The 21429-nt window shown below is 39.1% G+C and overlaps 1 protein-coding gene across 5 annotated transcripts in view; it reads right to left on the reverse strand.

Annotated features, from left to right (window-relative positions):
• Positions 1 to 21429, reverse strand: part of RASEF (RAS and EF-hand domain containing) — a 239635-nt gene that overhangs the window by 49536 nt on the left and 168670 nt on the right. For 2 of the 5 annotated variants that reach the window (XM_047422826.1, XM_005251731.5), the window contains exon 1: positions 18991 to 20168. The exons of the other annotated variants lie outside the window; for them this stretch is intronic. In XM_047422826.1, coding sequence (XP_047278782.1) covers positions 18991 to 19034 — 44 coding nt within the window. In that variant the 5' untranslated portion in view covers positions 19035 to 20168. Of the gene's footprint in view, positions 1 to 18990; positions 20169 to 21429 lie in introns of those variants that run through there. 5 annotated transcript variants of the gene reach the window in all.

The raw sequence follows: 21429 nt of genomic DNA on the forward strand, positions 1-21429 counted from the left end.
ATATAGGGCCCATGGTAACATGGTGGTTAAGTGGCAGAATAAGGATTCAAACTCAGTCTCAAGCTGTGGGCCACCTGATCAACCATAAAATCATACTGCTTCCCTATGTGTTAAATAGCTAAACTCTGGCAGAAGAAATGGGATTCAAAATCAATCCACAGACCAAGGAAACACTGAAAAACGTAAGGTACACATTAACTCTGAAGCTTAGTTAAGCCTGGCCCCAAGGTGTGTCCATGTGGCTGTAAACTCTCCCAGACTTGCCTTCTTTTTTTTTTTTTTTTTGAAACTGAGTCTCGCTCTGTCACCCAGGCTGGAGTGCAGTGGCGCAATCTTGGCTCACTGCAACCTCCGCCTCCCAGGTTCAAGCGATTCTCCTACCTCAGCCTCCTGAGTAGCTGAGATTACAGGAGCCCACCACCACACCAAACTAATTTTTTTTTTTTTTTTTTGTATTTTTAGTAGGGACGGGGTTTCACCATGTCTCTGAGACCATGCTGGTCTCAAACTCCTGACCTCAGGTGATCCACCCACCTCGCCCTCCCAAAGTGCTGGGATTACAGGCGTGTGCCAACACGCCTGGCCCCAGGCTTGTTCTTATAAACAAACTGCTTGATCTGTACAGAGGCCAATCATGATTCAAAAGAATTGCTCAAGGAAAATATTATTAATAAACCTGCAGTAGTAAGTCTCTTTATTTGGTGGTATAAGACACAGAAAACTGCCATTATCTTTCCCATCAGAGCTGAGTACAAATTCTGGTTGCAATAGTAAGCCATATTTATTACGGGGCAGTGAAAGAAAAATCTCTACTCTTAGATTGTCTGACATAATTTCAATGGATCATTAACTTCTTTGCCTTTGTCATTTACTGACTACCAGGAAGGTAAAAAGCATAAAAACCTGCTCTTTAATAGAACCCTGCCTGTCAGGGTGTCATTAAGATACTGTCACCGAGTGGGGGGATGTGGTGGCTCACGCCTGTAATCCCAGCACTTTGGTGGGTAGATCACCTGAGGTCAGGAGTTCGAGACCAGCCTGACCAATATGGTGAAACCCTATCTCTACTAAAAATACAGAAATTAGCCAGGCGTGGTGGTGGGCGCCTGTAGTCCCAGCTACTCGGGAGGCTGAGACAGGAGAATTGCTTGAACCCAGGAGGCAGAGATTGCGGTGAGCCAAGATCATGTTACTGCACTCCAGCCTGGGTGACAGAGTGAGACTCCGTCACAAAAAAAAAAAAAAGATACTGTCACCTAGAGTCCTTGTTTGCTGGCTATCTGTACAACATCAAAATGTTCAGAAGTACACATCTCAGTAGATTCCCTCACTTTTTGCAAATTTCTAAAATGAGAAAGAAACATAATGATTTGTAAATTCTTGGGTCATGTGTTGGTTCTGGAATTCATTACAGAGAATTTCAAAAATAGTTTACAGTGAAGCATACAAATAGAATAATTACAGGAAATGTCTGCCACTAACAGAAAATATGTCACATGGTTAACTGTTGTGCCAGGACTCCACCACGGAAACTCAACTATCTTGCTTTGCATTACAGGGCACACAGGGAGATCTGATTCCCCAGAACCCTTGGCTGGTAGGTTGGAGTCATGTGACTAGTTCTAGAAAACGGAGTGGGTACAGAAATGGTATGTGTTTGCCACCTCTAGGCTTGACCTCTAAAATCGCTTACAAAATCTTCAGCACATTTTCTTTCTTTTTTCTTTCTTTCTCACTTTCTCAATTTCTCTCTCTCTCCTTTCCACCTTCTCCTTCTTTCTCCCTTTTCCACCTTTCTCCCTCTTTTCACTCTCTCCCACTTTCTCCCTCATCCTCATCACCGAAGTGAAAAACTCCAATATGGCTAAGCCTCGTGATAGAATGTGCTTGGATCCCTGAATCACCACATGGTGGAAAACTGCTCAGGAGAGCTACCTGACCACCTTGATCTGTCAGATACGTAAGAAAAAAATGTTTGCATTGCATGAAGCCAGTAAGACTTGTTCTTTGTTACAAAGCCAGTTCTTTGTTACAGTCAGCTTAAGCTTAGAAAGTTGGCATTATGGTTTCCTATTTGGGTATTTTATCATCTTCTTCCCTATTAACATACTTCCTTACCTCCTTACTTGATAGCTTCACATATTAAGTATGTAATAAAACATTTATGAGCGGGTAAGTCTTAACAATCACTACCCACTCTTTTTTAGAAGGGAACAAAAGGCTATCTTGAAGCATTCAGATACCAAAGTAGATATTTATTGATCACCTTATATATGTAGTCCAGGTGCTGATTTAAGCCTTTACATATATTATTCATTTAATTCTCATGACAACTCTATGAAGATGTTATCACTAGTATCCTATTTACTGAGGAGGAGACTTAGGCAAGTACGTCCCTTTAGCAGAGCTAGGATTCCCACTCAATCCACCTGGCTCCAGAGTTGGGCTCTCTAGGGAAGAACTAGCTCTTCACACCAAAAGTAAGTGCTAAGCCAGTTTTCAGGGGTCTTAAGTACATACCTCCATTTAGGAAAATGTAATATAACAAGATTTTTAAAAAATTACTTTGGAAGAGGACATGTTTTATTGCTACAAGGATTACCCACGTTACAAGAGGACTCCTTAAAAGAATGAAAGCATGAATAAGATAAAAATGAGATAACCTTCTACAATTTAGTTTACTTAAAGCTATCTGGGGGAAGGACTATTACATGCAGTGGGCACAGTCCCACCTTCCATCCCTGCCCCCATCTGCCTGTGTGCTTCGCTTGGTCTATACTGTGGAAATGATGCACCTTCTGGGGTATGCCAAGAGACTGTAACATAACACTCTTGGCAATTCTCACACCTGATAGGAAAAGGAAAAACACAACAAAACAAAAAATACTTCATCATAGCAAAAGATAGTACCTGGTCCCTCTACGTAAGATTTATATTCTGTGCCTCTCCTGGGCAGCTAAATACCTGTGGATTTCTCAACTCAATAAACTTGGCACCATTACTTGGTGCCAAGATAATTTTTGTTCCCTCACAAGAGTGTAGTAGTTACTGGCCTCTTCCCGTGTCCTACCTTCTGACGTCAAAGGTTAAACAAGCAGAAACGATACAATGGCCACACACACAACTCTGTTTTCTTCTGGGCCTGACCCAGTTGGCACAAGTGAGTGCTGAGAAGGGTGACAAGTAGTGACAAGGCTTGAAAGCATTTTGAATTCATCAAGGACCCAGGGCCTCATCTAAAGCAATTACACTTGCACTCTCAAATACCATGCAGATCTGTTTACAGGTGTACTTGGCAAACACTAGGGAAAGAAAGATTAAGGATCAAGTCATAAGCATTAGTCAGTCAAGACAAAAGAAGTCTCTGCATCTGTGCTGAGAGAGCAACCAACACTAATATACCTAATTTGTGTCTGAAGATATCAAGTGAAATGCAATTAGAGAAAAATGTACCTTGAATTATCAATGTTTTAGATGTCATTTATCTTCTTGTTCAATAAATTATATGATGATTTGTATGAACGACAGTAGCAATGGCTAATTACTGATGAAAACTTCACAACTTAAAATTTTTAAATGATCCCTGGGAAATAAGAACCTTAAATAGCAAATATTCCCATTGAAGCTGAGAGGGAAATTATACGTACTTGAAGAGAAAACAGGTATACCTAAGATGTATAAAACTTTTTAAAGGTCACGCACCCATTTTCATAAGATTAACATTTTACTCAGAAGATTACATATATATTTATGTTTATATATCTGGAATGCAGTAGGGCTGGTATGTAGAATGCTTGGACACCACTGATCTCAGGACATCTCTGGGAACCAGTTAAGTACAGACAACTTCACTCCACATTAAGAAACACAGTGATCCAGTAGGGTGCTTAGGAAAACTGGCCTTTAGATCCCAAGTCATGCTGATTTAAGCATTAAAATAGGGAGCTAAATTACTCAAACCGTATGTTTTATGCATCTAGAACCCAGTTTTTGTAAACGAAAGCACACAGTAATAAATGCCAATGTCTTCATCATTCTATACTAAGGAATGCCACAAGAACACTGATGCTAAGATCCTAGCATCTGAACATGAGACATGAAAACATGCATGCAATCCAAGGGGCGCCATGAGAGATCTTGAAAATGCTAGGAAGCCAACCAAATTCCTTCCTGCATAAAGCTCACAGGACTGACTATGACTGAAAAGTTCTGTGAGGAATAAGTACAAGATGCACTGACAGCATAGAACAGGTGAACATGACCAGTCCTTGGGGTATTCCCTGAAGTATGCATAGATGTCAACTAGGCAGAAAGGGGGTGCAATAGGGGGTGGTCTCTTACAGGCATCAATAGCCACAGGCTGTGCACAGCGTCAGGCAGGAGAGCTGGAGCTGGAGAAGTTAGCAGGAGCCCGATGAGCACATCCTCAAGGACCGAAAGCGCACTGAAGGGGGTCGGCGGGGATGTCCCGAAAGGATGGGAAGCCATGGCAAGATTTAAAGCAAGAGATGACATGATCGAGTTTGCATTTTCACAGTTTTGGCTGAAGCAAGGAATTAAACAAAAGATTTTGAAATAAATGTGCAGAGATAAAAATAAATCTAAGACCATTATCATTTAATCCAGAAATGTAGAACTTCAGGAGTTGTCACCAGCTTTTACTCTAGAATAGGTAAATTATAGACAACTAAAATCTGGTAGTATAATTATTTCTCTTTTTGGGTAAGAACAAGGATTATGTTCTTACTAATGTAATACCAGTTAGCCTACTTCGTTCGATGCCCTGAACGAATCACACTTGTCTAGTCAGTAAGTGCAAAGGTTTATCCTTTTTCTCCCATATGAGTTAAATAAAAAGTACTCTTCTAAAAACGTATTTTTATTACATAGTATGCATGCTTCCAGAATAAACCCCAAATTAACTAGAAAATAAATTCTAAGGGCCAAATCCAGCTATGCTACTAGAACAGAAAAATATTAATTCCCTTTCTAAAGTTTAAGTCTTGCTTTCTAGACAGGATGACCTCTTCCCACTAATAGAGTTGCTTACGACTGGCTGTGGTCTCAGTCTGCATACAGAATGGCTATCCAGCTCTCCAATCTAGAGAAAACAAACAATGGTCTCCTCAACTTGGCCACAGCAACCAGCAGACTTGGAAAGACAACCTGGTCCAGGGGCTGAGGCTTCTCTGGCTTCAGTTTTGCTGTTGTCTGATCAGAGGAGTTTCTAATCTACATTTTAAACCAGAAATGCCTCACCCAGGGCCCCTTAACCACACACATCTCCTGCAGGTAAAATTCTTTCTGGGTTTGTGTCATCTTGAGAAATATTACTTACCTAAGTATCTATTTTTATAACATTCCCCAAAAGATATTAAAACGGAAATTCCCTGGAAGATGAGAGAGTTAACTAGATCCATTCAATGTCTAGGAACAATCCAGATTACAAATTGCTTCCTATTTTCAATCACTGATATTTAGTTACTGGGAGTTCACCAATGGAGGCAGGAGGATAGAAACAGCAGGAAGCATCATGCTGACGCTTTACTGCAGGCACAGCCTCAAAACAACTGGGGCTTCTGCAGTCATAAATGAATACAGCACAGGATAAGTGGAATGACCTGGGTAGATTTAAATGCTTCCTCCACCACATCTGCTTTATGACTCAGAGCCAAACACTTCACCTCTCCAGCTTCAGCTTCTTCAACCATAAAGTGGGTATAACCTACCACCTAAGGGTAGCAAAGGGTAGCTGTGAGGTACAGTGCATGGTACAATGTTGGTAATCAGTAAGTGCCAGCCACTGTTTCCATCCATTATTATTCTTAACTCCACTCCCCAACTGGGTTAAAAAGAAGTAGATGGTTGTCTCCTGTCCATGTCTGGGTGGTGTTTCAAAAAGGGTCAAAGGAAGAAAATCTTGTAGTATGGGAGCTCCATGGACAGAAATGTCTTACGCGTGGCAGTACTCTGGGAACTGAAAAGGGACAATTAAATTAGGTCATGTTCAAGGTCAGTCTGCAAAAGTTATAGTCCCTGGGTACATAATATCTTTTCTGTGAAGCACCAGGTAGAAAATACTTTTGGCTTTGCAGGACATACTATCTCTGCTGCAACTATTTAGCCCTATCACTGCAGTGTGAAAGCAGCCTAGACAATGCATAAATGAATAAGTTTGGCTGTGTTTCAATAAAATTTTATTTACACTAACAGGCAGAGGGATAGATGAGCCTTGCTGTGCTGACCCGTTACCATCTATTAACATAAGGCCCTGAGCATAGCAATGTGCATGGGGCAATGCAGACCTCACCCTTCCACACTCAGATGAACAGGCTTTTATTCACATCGTGCCCCAGGTCCAGATCAAACTTTTTCATATACAGAAGTTCATTCTGTTGACATTACAGTATGTATGTGCTATACGTGTGTACATGTATATGTAAGAATATGCAGCTCTTTATTTAAGAGCACTTGCCTTGCAGTGCACATTTGCTCTCCCCGTATTTCTCTTCTATCAACTTAACCTGAGTGAAGTTAAATGTAGGCATAATCTAGTAGTGTTAGCGCAAGTAGGTATATTATAGTTATTTTTCATGGAAAAAAATATTTCTACTTTGGCAAAAAAAAAGGAGCTGAGAAGCAAAAAAGGAATACAATATCAATTTTTATGTAAAATTTCTCTTTAGGTGACATCTGTCACCTTCCCAGATTTAGGACAGTCCCAGTTTATGTTCGTTGTCCTGTATCCTGTCCACATGAAGCATCTAACTAGAATTTCCCTTTCATTTTAATCAACAAGTTGCATTAACATGTATTACCTATTATTAAACTGTGTACCAACTGTACATTTAAGCTTATTAACAGTTGCATTAAAACAATCCAGGGTGAATTTGTTGTATCTCCACTTTCACCTGTTAGTGTGTGAGACATCCATGCAGTGAAAAGATAGAATAATATGTGGCTAAATCAGAAGATAATCAGGAATAAACCCATCTCTCCTTTCCTGACCTTTTCCAGACACAATGTAACTAAAACTTTCCTTTCAGGGGCAGGAAGCAGAACACTCACATTCACTGATAAAACAAATTAAGCTTGGACAAGAGAAGCTGCAGACAGAAAACTCCTTCAGGACTCAGATGGTGGTGGAGAAAGATTGGAAGCAGCTGCCTCGGCCAACCACCTGGAAAGTCAGCCAGTTGTGCTCCTATCTGCAAGATGTGCAAAATGCTGCCAGGCAGCCGTGTGGTCAAGTCAGTGGGAAATTGGAAAATTACAAGCATAGTGCACATGAAATATGTACAGAAAACAGAAGTTGGATAGGCCTGCCTCAGAGCAATGGAGAGTACCTCGGATGCTCTTGCTACAGTGAGTTGACCTTTTTTATATGGTTTAAGTGTATATCTAGTTATTTTATTGGATGGCAATGCTTTTACATTTCGCAGTAAACTCTTCTGGCAGCAACAACCTCGAAAGTAGATAAATGCATAACTGCTCCAAATGGTTAACTGTCATAGCCAAAAGGAGCATAAGGAGACATGACAACAAAATGGAACGTGGTGTCCTAAATGGATGCTGGAACAACAACAAAAAAGGGACTTTAGGGAAAAACTGAGGAAATCCGAATATGGACTTTAGTTAATAATAGTGAATCAATAATCAGTTCATTAATTGTAACAATTGTACTACACCAAAGCAAGATATTAATAAATAAGGAAAAGTGAGTACAGGTTACACGGGAACACTATACCATCTTCGTTTTTTTGTTTTTGTTTTTTTTTAAAAAAAGCTTCTCAGTATTATCCTCCACCATGGTGCACCATGGTGCCCTAAAGTGATACCATGGTGCCCTACATACAGTGGTATCATTAGCCACATGAAAACCAGAAAATATAAATCTCCTGAAGAGCAACAGGAACTATGTCTTTTAAGACAACCATATTCTTCAGAGTCTACAATTTTACTCATGCAGCTGCAGAAGGCTTACTTACATACCACCTGTGAAACATGACTTTTTTCTTAGGTCAAGAGACTTGTTCCAAATTAATTCTGCACAAATTTTTATTACAGATTATCTTGTACAAATGCAAAGAGTGAAATGAGAGCTGTGTATATTGCCTGCACTAGCAGAAGAAGAACTTCAAAAAGGTAAATGAGGCTAGTTTTATATCAATGCAATGAGATGCTTCAAAAAAAAAAATAAACAGTTGCATCAATTCCAGCACTGGTTTGTTTTTTTCCCCATCCACTGAATGGAATCAACGTTCAGGAAGTTCATTCTGTCAAAGATAGAACATACAATCTTATTACGAACGCTATTACAAATTCCATGAAAAATAAAAGAATAAAGCATTGTAGTAAAAATTATATTTTTACCAAATTAAGAAATCTGTGAAGTAGAAACACACTGGAATTGGTGGCACATATAACTGAATCCAAATACACTTTAATATTCTGTAGACTGAAATGTTGTCAAAATTTCAAATATATTGACACACATAATTACATTATCTCAACATTTTTGCAATAGTCATTTTCTCTCATTGTGGCTTATCACCATTCAGATTTTGGAAATCTTTGAGCCTTTGAAGAACTACTTAGCAAATCATTGTAAATGTCCTATTTTTTTTTTTTTTTTTTGTAAACTAGTCTTCTAAGCTTTCATTACATTTTGTTCAAAATCAGTTGGAAAACTTTAATCAAATCACTCAACATTAGGAACCATATAAAAGCTACCATCTATTTTTGAAGCTTTTTGCAGACTGAAATTAATTGAAAAGTAAGCCTGAAAACAGGAAGACACTAAGGAATTAAACAAATTCAATGATAAGAGTTCAAATGTACAAATGAAATTCTGTAATTATTATTTGGAATATCTGAACTCATGAGAAAGATCTTTTGAGGGTCTTCCTATCTTGATTAAATTTATATTCTGTAACAATAGGATGGAATTGAGAAGTCCTATAATTTTGATGTATCTAAGTATTGGAAAACATTTAAAGAATCATAAACGAACACAACTTGGTAAGTCTTGTCTTATAAATGTTAATAAATTTGTCAAAGTATTTGTTAAAGAAAGTATTTTGAAAGGAGGTAAAGACATAGAACCTGTGACAATCGTGGACTGAATTATTCACATATGTTAACATTTACATGTCAATACCAAGACAAAAAAGAATTTACGATATCCTCCACTTAGAATTTACTCTACAATTATAGTTCAACACTTGAGAGTGTCTTCTTAATTAAAAAATTATGATCTACACAGAAGAGTCAACTGCTGATGTCAACAATTTCAAATTTAATAGTCAAAAAATGAAACCATAACTCTAAAGATTACAAGCAATATTATAGAAAAAATTAAGAATACGACCACATTGAACGAAGATGTATTCTTCAGAAAAGTACCACTAATTCTGGCATTAGAGATAGATATAGAATTAACATTAAAATACGTGAATATATTCCAGTACTATTTTGCACATGCACTTTTTAATATTCACATAAGTGATAAGAATTTTTGCTTCAATGTACGTAAACCTTTTATATATTTTACAAATAACTTTATTTTTAAAATTTTTGACTAGAACTAGTACATAGGACCACTATATAATAAAAACAATTTGTCAGATAATAAAATAGTGTTTTGATAAAATTATATAATTTAAAGTATATTAGTTATCCTCATTTTATTCTCAAACAAGTCCTGGTTTAGGGAATCAATTCTATGGCCACTCTAGTTTTCTGTCTCATTTTCTTCACTCTTTTTCCATCCTTAGGTGCTCAGTGTCCTCAAGTATTTTGTAGAAGGCTCAATACAAAATATGTAACTTTTCAACAAGGAGACAAAGTTCAGATGAAGCATGTTTTCTTGACTGATTTCACATCACTGTTCTGGTTTTTTTGTTTTGTTTTTTCAATTTTTGAGATTGCAAAAGTTGAGAAACAAATTCTTCCCTCCCTTTTCAAAGTATATTTTAATCTCAGTCTTTGATCAGAATCTAAGCCTTTCATATATGCTATCTAGAAGCCAAATGCTACAAATCAGTCAAGGCTTTCCCAAAAGTCACCTCTGAAAGTCGGCCCTGAATACTCCAGTCACAGGGAAATCCCTCCCCTCCTATCCCCTGCCACTCTTTATCTGAGTTCTGTGTATTGAGTTTTCTGTGGCTGTTTTACCTTCCCAGTTACCCTATCAGTCTCATATCCCCTGTAGCACCCGGCACCTACAGGTTTGACCTGCAGCAGCTTCTCCATTAATGAATGAAGGAAGGAGGCAGGAGGTCTGGAGAAGAAGGGCTCAACGTGAACTGATGTGGAGAAGGTGGAGTTTTATACTGGATCTGCGACAGGCTCAGAACTCTGACTCAGAGAGGACAAAGAAGGCAACAGTGTGAAGGAGTGAGCAGCTAAGCCTTGCCTGCACAGGGTTAGGGAGAGGACTAACTATGGGAAATATGATTGCCAAGATAAAAAGGGTCTCTCCTGCTGAACACAGTGAGAAAGTAGGAGATTCTAGAAAGCACAGCAGATTCCATCTGAACTTTACACGCACCAGCATGCACCAGTCTTCAGCGTGCTGCTGCCTTCTTCACTATTTTTTCCCTTTCTCCTTTCACATTGTTTTCAATGGGGATGCGCCCACTATTTACCATATAACAGATGCTAAGAAAGCTGAAAATAAGTCCAACTCAAGAAACTGTCTGTCTTGCTGGTATCTGGAACTATTTCTGACATGCAAAGGCCCCTTTATCTTGTTCCATGATATGGTTTGGCTCTGTCCCCAGCCAAATCTCATCTTAACTGTAGCTCCCATAATTCCCATGTGTCATGGGAGGTACCTGATGGAAGGTAACTGAATCACGGGGGCAGGTTTTTTGGTGCTGTTCTAGTGATAGTGAATAAGTCTCATGAGATCTGATGGTTTTATAAAGGGCCGTTCCCCTACACACACTCTCTTGCCTTCAGCCATGTAAGATGTGCCTTTGCTCCTCCCTCGCCTCCCAGCCATGTGGAACTGTGAGTCCCTTAAACCTCTTTTTCTTTATAAATTACCCAGTCTCAGGTATTTCTTCAAAGCAGTACAAAAATGGATGAATACACTCCACCTCAGGTTTGTGTTTTTGTGGGCTGAGGTTGCTGCAATCTCAACATCAGCTGAATGGCTAAACCAATGTATCAAATCTTGAATATATTTTGAATATACTTCAATAATAAATGTGGGGGCATTTTTAACAAAATATTATTTATATTTGTTAATAACATATATGTGAGTTCCAAAAATAAATTAAATTACATGATTCTATGGCGATCAACAAAGACAACATATTGCATACATAGATAACTCACCATAGCTTCTACAAAAGATAAGGATTTGCTTGTCATTCTAAAATCTCCAAATGATTTATTAATATACTACAGAATCATGAATACCAGTAAAGAACAATTTCTCTTTCGAAATCAGTACATTCTGGAATATATAAGTGCATTCTACTTGTTCATTCAATAGCAAATATATTTCCTGAATTAGCACTGATTATATATTGAATACCTACCACTGATTATTAAATAGTTGGCATTTAATTCTGAATTATTATTGGTATCATGGAAAGATAACTGTTTGGTTCCTCATCACGTTTTGTTTACAGTTAAATAAACCTTATGCTCAAATATACATAACACTGGCAAGAAAATTTGTTAGAATTCTACACAACCTGCTTTGGCCTTTTTATTTTATTTTATATATATATTTTTTGAGACAGAGTTTCACTCTTGTCGCCCAGGCTGGAGTGCAATGGCACGATCTCGGCTCACTGCAACCTCTGCCTCCTGGGTTCAAACGATTCTCCCGCCTCAGCCTCCCAAGTGGCTGGGATTACAGGCACGCGCCACCATGCCTGGCTAATTTTTTTGTATTTAGTAGAGATAGAGTTTCAACATGTTATTCAGGCTGGTCTTGAACTCCTGACCTCAGGTGATCCACCCGCCTGGGCCTCCCAAAGTGCTGGGATTACAGGCATGCGCCACCGTGCCCGGTGCTCTGGCCTTTTTAAAAGCCTATTTCAAAGGTTACATTAGTTTTCTATGACAGTTAATGTAATTAAGCATGAAATTATTGTCTATGACATCTTTGAATTATGTTAAAACTATTTATATATGTGATATTATTTGTTTAGTGTCCCAAAAGACATGTCACCGAGTTTTATAATCTACTTTTAATTTTAAGAATCACTGATTTTTACCTACCTACCTTGCTACCCAACCATCAAACACAAAGATAAATCAATAACAGTGTCCCAGTCTGTTTTATGAAAACATACAAAAATAGATCAAAAGTATCAAACCAAGTAAAATTAGTTGTAGAGATTTTCTTATGAATTTCTTAAACACATTTCCCCTTTGAAATAAAATGTTGCTGACATCTCTAATTTGACATTTCAACAGTGAAGTAAGACCCTTTGAGAGGCTCCCGGTCTCACTCCATGGTGCTTGGGGTACATTCTCCACAAAGCAGAAGCCTCCTGAGACAGACCCCACTGCCCATCATCTGTCCACTCCACTGCTTTCCCAGCAACCTGCTGGAAAGTTTAATTATTTTTTCATTTGATTTTCTGCAGAACGGAAGGGTGATTTTCTGAAGTGTGTTTTTAAAAAAAGGTAGCCAAAAATCTCATTAAAATCCGACTTTGGCACATTATTCAAGGATCAGTTGTCCTGCCACTGGTCCACTTTTGTGTTCCCAAAGCCACAGTTCACTAAAAGAGCAAACAGCCTTCAGATCTGCAAACACCATCTGCCAACAGAGGCTGACCTCAACCCCCAAGAAAAGTCAAGAAAAGAAAAACCAGTCTTCCCTTAATTGAGTCATCATCTTAACTCACTGGTTCATCAGATAAGGAAAAGCAATTTCAGTAAGCTGTATATTTACATTTATCTCAGTTTATATTTTTTTATCCCAAACCTTTAACATTCCCTTGGTTTCCAGTTCTGTGGTCTGAGCTGCACTCCTCTCTCACCTGCTTGGATAATAACATACCCTCTGGGCAGCAAAATGAATACAAAAGCTACTAAAGAAAATAGGAATAAATGCCTAATTGTTGCTTTAAATGCAAGAACTATATAGAAAGTTGTCATAAAGTTATTACAATAATTTGCTTGAGTGGACAAGGAGAATCCACAAAGCAGTAGTATTTGTTTATCTTGGTGTGTAGTTTTTTAAGCATTCCCCTAAGACTCAAAAGAGAAAGGATTAAAAATAATTTCAGTGACCAACATATGAAGTGACTGACAGACTCCAGTGGATTCATTCAGCATGAACCATGCCCACTCCTGGCTGGGCACCTACTTCTTATTTGTATTCAAAATAATATAACTCCATGTTTTGTGCTTATCTCTCTAAGTGGCTGAATTTCTAAAAAGATAATTTAGAACTACAGCATCTACTTGAGGAATCTCCAAAATAAACAAAATTGAAAAAGGAGTTAATGTATGAATAAAAATGGAACAGGAGTAAAACTACAAATAATATTATAATTTCAAAATGATGGCAGCACTCCAGCTATCTGAAACTCAGGTATCTGACTAAGAAGAATCCAAAAGGAGGTTGGAAAGTCAGAAAAAAAAAGAAAAACAGCCTCTGAGACACCCCTGCTTGGTTTAGAAATAATCTACATTCAAACAGTGCTTTTAAAACACAATTCTAATGTATCTGATAATTTGTTTTCCAAAACTTCAACAGACAAAAGACCCAGGAAGGAAGGAAGTACTGAGAATAGTAAAATGTCATTTGGCAGCCTGACGGCAAGGACAAACACTCCACACGGTAACTTAAAATGCTAAGCTGAACCACCATCTCCACAAATCCCTGGGGATATCATTCTACTACCTCCCGGGATAAAGCTAGACTTCATATGATGACCCTGAGTTAGCACGGAAAGCTTCAGTGATTTTGCAAACAATTTTTCTGACCAATGTGTTGCCCATGTCCATATGCTTACCAAAAGACTTGTGACAGATGATCACTGCAGTACTATGTGTGACATCCATGACACAGAAATTATCCAAATGGACATTTTTAGTAAACTGGATAAATCAATTGCGGTATTTTCACACTGTGGAATAGACTACATCAGTGAAAATAAAAGTTTTAAACTACAAGCTCACAAACATCATGGTGACTGAAAGAAGCCAAATGCATTGTATGAACCTATGTATGTAACATCAAAACAGAAGCAAAGGACAATAACTTCTCTGGAAAGAGGGGTCTGCAGTGATTGGGGGGGGGGACCCTGGGCTTCTGCAATGTAGTAAAATGTTCTGTTTCTTCACCTGCATTCTGATTTATTCAAGCATTCCATCTGAAAACTCAGCAAGCTGTACACTTAACGTTCTGTGTGCTTTTTTTGCATGTGGTTTTGTCTTTGAAGAATACATTCACAAAATATACAGAATACTTGATGGAGCATAAATGACTGTATCCTCAAGGTAAACTCAGTCATGAACATCTCAAAATTCAGATATCAAATAACCAGAAGCACCCCCAGGCAAAATTTTGAAGTCAGCGAAGTTTATCTCTTCTACCTCAGTTCAGCATTTTTTTTTCTGGGTCTTTTCTGCCTCTTTGAAAGCATCTGCCCAGCAGATGTGGCCACATCCCACACTCTCGCTTCTCATTTTCTCAGCAAAGTTTATTACACACACAAACTATTCAGGGATTCTGTTAAAATGCAGATGCTTCAGTGAGTCTGCGGTGGGACCTAAGAGTTTGCACTTCTAGAAACGCCCTTGACTAGCAGAGAGAAGACGTGATTTAACACCAGTGCCCGCTGAGCTGCTGGGAACGGAATAATGAATCTAGCAGCTCTCTTGTGGCTGCTTTAGGACCTATACCTGATGGAATACTTCTGGCTTCCCTGTGCTCTCTATTACATCCCTGTTAGTAACTTCCAACTCGGGGACAAAAACTAGTAGTTGGGCATAGCAGATAGAACCCATTCCTACTGGAAAAAATTTCTTCCTGTTCCTCATTAAAATGTCAGCCTTTGGACTTCTTGGCACAATGTCTTCCTTTCACAGAGCATCTGCAGAAAGGAGGGAAGGAAGGAGTGAGAAGGAAGGAGAAGAAGAAGGGAAGCCAGAAAGCAGTGAATTTGCCCAGGAAAGTCCAGCAAAGCAAAATGTTTGTGTGGCTTGCTGGACGGCTATGGCTGCCCAAATCCAAGATGTATCTTCTGTGAGGTGCTCAGTTTGAAGTTATGAGTATTTTGATGAAGAGTGGGATTGTAGGGTGAAGACAGAGGGGTAGGAACAAGGCTGAATAATAAGACCTCCCAGAGGGGCATCTCAGAGCCATAAGCAGATGTAGGGCAAGCCTTTTCTTGGGAAATAAAAAAAAAATTAATAACTTTAAAGTTGACATAGAAATTTGGTACTTTGTTGTGGAGTGTTTAGGCATTTGGAAGGTGGGGGAATATAATATATGTATAGGAATTTTTCCTGATTCAAATAGTTTGAATTTTCTGTTACTTACAAGCTAGAAGCATTCAAAAACGCTCTGTGATCTCAAAACTGAGAATATTTGAAAAACTTTCTTAGTGGCTATGATGGTGAATTTTATTTATGTCAACTTGTCTAGGCCACGGTAGCCAGATATTTGCTTAAACATGTGAGTATGTTGCTGTGAAGGTACTCTGTACATGAGATTAACACTTAAATCAGTAGACTTCGAGTAAAGCAGTTTACCCTCCATAATGTGGGTAGGTGAGTCTCATCCATTCAGTAAAGACCTTAACAGAACAAAGACTGATCTCCCAGGAGGAAGAGGGAATTCTGCTAGCAGATGACCTTTTCACCGGGACTGCAACTTCAACCCCTCCCTGGGTCTCCAGCCTGCCATCCTGCCCTGCAGAGTTTGGACTTACCAGCCTCCACAGTCACACGAGTCAATTCCCTAAAATTAATATATCTCAATCTCTCTCTTTCTAAATAATATGTAAAGAGATATGTGTGTACATATGGTATATATATAACACATACATTTTATATGTGTGTCTGTGTGTATGTACATGTATGTACACATACACACATCTTATTGGTTCTGTTTCTCTGGAGAACTCTAACTAATACAAGTGTCTTAAATCACTGCACTTTCATTGGGGCTAATCAATGTAGACCAATGTACCAGCTTCACAGTGAATGTATGCTAGGACTGATGAAAAGAGCTGAATAAGAACTTTAATTGTTACTGATAAGAACCTTAATTTTAAATATCATTCAACAGGGCAGGTCACTTCCCAAGGCTCCAAGTGCTCAGCTATCCCATCATATTTTCATTTTAGCCAGGGTCATTAGGACTCTAACAACCTAATGGATTTCTGAACTTTTGTGGACTAAAGCACTTTTATTATCCTGAAGACAGCTCATTTGCTATAATCTCTTAGGAGAGAGGTGATGCATTATCCTTTTAGACCAACACAAAACCTTGAATCTGTGTTCACAGAATCAATCTGACATTCATTTCTGTCTTTGTGCCTTGCTGGAGCTTCCCATGAGTTCTGGACTCAAGATGTTTTTTTAGGACTTCTCTGCCATAATGCAGGTACCTGCACCATCAGTTAGCTCACTCCCTAGGTCAGTAAATGAAGTATGCTAAAGCAGAAATGACTTTTCCCAGTGTGCCCCCAAGTAACAGCCACTGAAATGCAAGTCCATTAACAGCTGCACACAGCAGGCTACAGAGGAATGCAGTGTGGACCTGATGCTGTTTCGCACTGTGGTTGTACTGTTAGCACAGACTGTCCACCTGTGTTGTCTGGGTTCTCTCAGATCCTTGTGCATTTTGTCCTTGCTCCACTAACTAAGCAGCCACAACCCTACACCTCCATTAAGCTTCCTTCACCTTCGGAAAAAAAAAAAAAACCCTGCAAAATCCTATATTTTCATGTTTAAACACTTTTTCAGATTATTTTTTAACTCTTATTTTAAGCTCAGGGGTACATGTGCAGGTTTGTTACATAGGTAAACTCGTGTCATGAGGCTCTGTTATACAGATTATTTCATCATCACCCAGGTACTAAGCCTAGTACCCAATAGTTATCATTTTTAAGATACCCACAGGTATTCTGAACTACTGTATTTCTATGTCTATTAAGAATCTCGCATGACTTTTTTTACTGTGCTAGTATTTTATTAGGATTATTACTGCTTATTTGAGTATTCTCATTATAGAAGTATAGATATCGAGTTGTCTGCACCATTCCTACTTTTTTTTCCATATGCCTTGTGTATGTTTGCAGAACACTAGGCTTTTCTGGAATGTATACACTGTGTTCAAGCAGAAATGCCTACACTGTAATTCATTCATTAGCATCCCCAAGCAAACCATATCTGCCAGTTTGAAGTACATGCGATACCAAGAGATCCCCAAGGAGGAAAAGAAAAAGTATTTTGCACTACAAACACTAACACTAGTTTACAGCATTCCCATCAGAAAACATGACACAGGAGTATCCTAAAATGGATTTTCTAAACAAATGTGGGTTGGCTCTTCATGAATTCTTCCACCTCAGCTCAGAGCAGACTGTAATTCTGTTTGATAGAAGCAAGAATTATGAGACGACTGTGTCATCCCAGGGGATGAAATGGCAGAGATCACCATGCTAGGCAGATGGGCAACAAATCAGGAAATGCTGCCTAAACCTCCCATAAACCCTTCATCCTTGCACCAGGTAGATACAGGGAGCTAACAATAGGTGATACTTTCACCACTGCATTCGGATTTCAGAATAAATAACTCCTTTCATACTTTTTTGCTTTCTATCTAGACATTTAAAATACATAATTGATCAAAGATACTATTATGATGAAATGGCCATCTGAGCATGTGCCATACTTTTACAGTTGTAAATGATCACAGAGGGCATCAAGGCTGAACATTCCCAGAAGACACCCCAAAACAAAATTTTAAAAATTGAAATTGAAGATAGTGGCTGCTCTTGGTGTGCACGTGATGGGAAGGGGCTCTCAGAACATGCCATTACCTTGGGTGTTTCTGCCTGGTCACTTAAAAATGGAAGACAAGGACAGATACATGTGAGAACATTTAAGGAACAAAGCTTGACTGAACCTGTTATGAGACTACTCCAAAACAAAACAAAAAAAGAAAAAACGAAAAAGAAAAAGAGGAAAAGTAACCCAGACACACAGCTTTCGTGGCTGTTCAAATTTCTTAGCCCTAAAATACAACTTTTGCCTAAGGGACAAAGAATTCCAACAATGAAAGAAAACAATACTACAATACCAGAAAATATGACCTCTTATAACTAAATTCCCTTATTTTTTATTACAAATCATTTCATTCCAATTGACTTTTCACACATCTTAAAAACTGTGACAGCCAAGTACTTCCAGCTTCAGATGAAGAGAAAGAAAAATATCGGAGTGATAGGTATCCTGGACATCCCAATGCATTCACAGCTTAGCCCTCCTCCCCTAGGACATACCCATTAGGGCAGCATAACCTGGAAGTAGAAAATATTATACAACAACATCTGTTGAGCCTGAGTGAGATAACTCTGTAAAGTACAATAACATCTAAGAGCAAACAAGAAAGTAAAGATAAACTGTCATTGGGTCAAAAGGGTATCCCACAAACTTAGAAGGGAAATAAGTAACACCATTAAAGTTCTAAGTTAGGATGTCATGGAACAACATGCTCGAATCAACAGGGATCTTCAAAATGAGATCAAACCTAACATTTGAATTAACCAGGGCACATTCACAGGTTGCACACTGGAAATACTGTCTCTTTAGCTATGCAAAATTGGAAATTTGCACTTAAAACCCAGCATCACTGTCAACATTTGGACCTGCATCGTGCATGGCAGCTGCTGTCCAGAGCTGAAAAGTGGCTGAGCTGAGAAGTGGCTTTCCTCCCAGCATATAAAGCAGAGGCTCTTACTGGCCGTAGACTCCACATCACTGGGTCAGCATTACCTGCCTGGCTCTGGAGGCCTCCACGTTTGTAAACCCTCCTCCATCAATCACAGCCCACAGTGTAGTAAGAGCGGAAGGAGCTTGGAGGTCATCTGACAGGGACCGGCAGTCCTATTGATGCTGGACTACAAAAGAAAGTTTTGGCACAATTCAACCTTGCAAAAGAAGGCATGAAGGCGTCACTTCTCTGTGGTAGAGGGGTGGAAACTCCCTGAGTGTAGCTGGTCTGTTTGATTTCTGACCACCACTGAGATCTGGACCCAGGCCATCTACCTCGTGATTCTTGCTACTTTATATCCTCACTGATGTCATCACCTTCTGAATAGAGGGAAACCAGCCAAGCAACTTGGACTTTTGGCAGGAGACTATTTCTAAGTACTCAGTGCCTCGTGCAGTCCTGGGCATACAGTGGATACAAAAAAAAAAGTTTAAGTGAAGGAATGAATGAGTAAATGAATGAATGAATGAATGAATGAAAAATAGGAAAAAGGGCGAGAAGAGTTTCTTCTGTGGGAAAATAACACAGACGTTCCTTGTTTAGGATTGGGAGATTTAACATTTACTTTTTCCATAGTGTTATGCCCTCAATTTAAATGACAGAGGAGATAAATACACATTGAGAAATGAAACACTTATGTTTTCCGTCCTATATAGTTCTTGAGGATTTCAAGTCCCATTAGAATATTTCTCATACTTGATTAACATGTAGACCTTATTAAAGACTCCTGTGAGGCTGTGTGCAGTGGCTCACGCCTGTCATCCCAACACTTTGGGAGGCCGAGGAAGGCGGATCACCTGAGTCCAGGAGTTCGAGACCAGCATGGCCAACACAGTACTATCTGTACTAAAAATACAAAAATTAGCCGGGTGTGGTAGTGCATGTCTGTAATCCCAGCTACTCGGGAGGCTGAGGCAGGAGAATTGCTTGAACCCGGGAGGCAAAGGTTGCAGTGAGCTGAGATCACACCACTGCACTCCAGCCAGGGTGACAGAGTGAGACTCCGTCTCCAAAAAAAAAAAAAAAAAGAATCCTGTGAATTCCAGAGTTGACTTAAACATTGCTTATAACATATTACACTTAACTATGAACAAACATAAATCAGATATAAACTTCCTTGTACCAACAGCATCAGTACATTTCTAAAATCGACACACATTTACAAAATCAATGACATCAGAATTAGCAATAGTCAGCTAACCTGACGGGGATGCAGTTTTCCAAGCTACATCTCCACAGTCAATGTCCGTGCGGGACTGGCTCATACATGGCTATCTTGAACACATTTCTATGATCAAAAGCCCATTCTCCCATCACTTTTCTATTTAGACCACAGAAAATCCAGCACTCTGTTGTCAGTCACCTTCAGATTATGTGAACACATGGCTCAATGCACAGCCCACCTTTCTGCCTTCCTTTTTTTTTTTTTTTTTTTTTTTATTATACTCTAAGTTTTAGGGTACATGTGCACATTGTGCAGGTTAGTTACATATGTATACATGTGCCATGCTGGTGCGCTGCACGCACTAACGTGTCATCTACCATTAGGTATATCTCCCAATGCTATCCCTTCCCCCCTCCCCCGACCCCACCACAGTCCCCAGAGTGTGATATTCCCCTTCCTGTGTCCATGTGATCTCATTGTTCAATTCCCACCTATGAGTGAGAATATGCGGTGTTTGGTTTTTTGTTCTTGCGATAGTTTACTGAGAATGATGGTTTCCAATTTCATCCATGTCCCTACAAAGGACATGAACTCATCATTTTTTATGGCTGCATAGTATTCCATGGTGTATATGTGCCACATTTTCTTAATCCAGTCTATCATTGTTGGACATTTGGGTTGGTTCCAAGTCTTTGCTATTGTGAATAGTGCCGCAATAAACATACGTGTGCATGTGTCTTTATAGCAGCATGATTTATAGTCCTTTGGGTATATACCCAGTAATGGGATGGCTGGGTCAAATGGTATTTCTAGTTCTAGATCCCTGAGGAATCGCCACACTGACTTCCACAATGGTTGAACTAGTTTACAGTCCCACCAACAGTGTAAAAGTGTTCCTATTTCTCCACATCCTCTCCAGCACCTGTTGTTTCCTGACTTTTTAATGATTGCCATTCTAACTGGTGTGAGATGATATCTCATAGTGGTTTTGATTTGCATTTCTCTGATGGCCAGTGATGATGAGCATTTCTTCATGTGTTTTTTGGCTGCATAAATGTCTTCTTTTGAGAAGTGTCTGTTCATGTCCTTCTCCCACTTTTTGATGGGGTTGTTTGTTTTTTTCTTGTAAATTTGTTTGAGTTCATTGTAGATTCTGGATATTAGCCCTTTGTCAGATGAGTAGGTTGCGAAAATTTTCTCCCATGTTGTAGGTTGCCTGTTCACTCTGATGGTAGTTTCTTTTGCTGTGCAGAAGCTCTTGAGTTTAATTAGATCC

This window comes from Homo sapiens, chromosome 9, assembly GCF_000001405.40.
Source record: "Homo sapiens chromosome 9, GRCh38.p14 Primary Assembly".
In the NCBI taxonomy this organism is placed as follows: domain Eukaryota; kingdom Metazoa; phylum Chordata; class Mammalia; order Primates; family Hominidae; genus Homo; species Homo sapiens.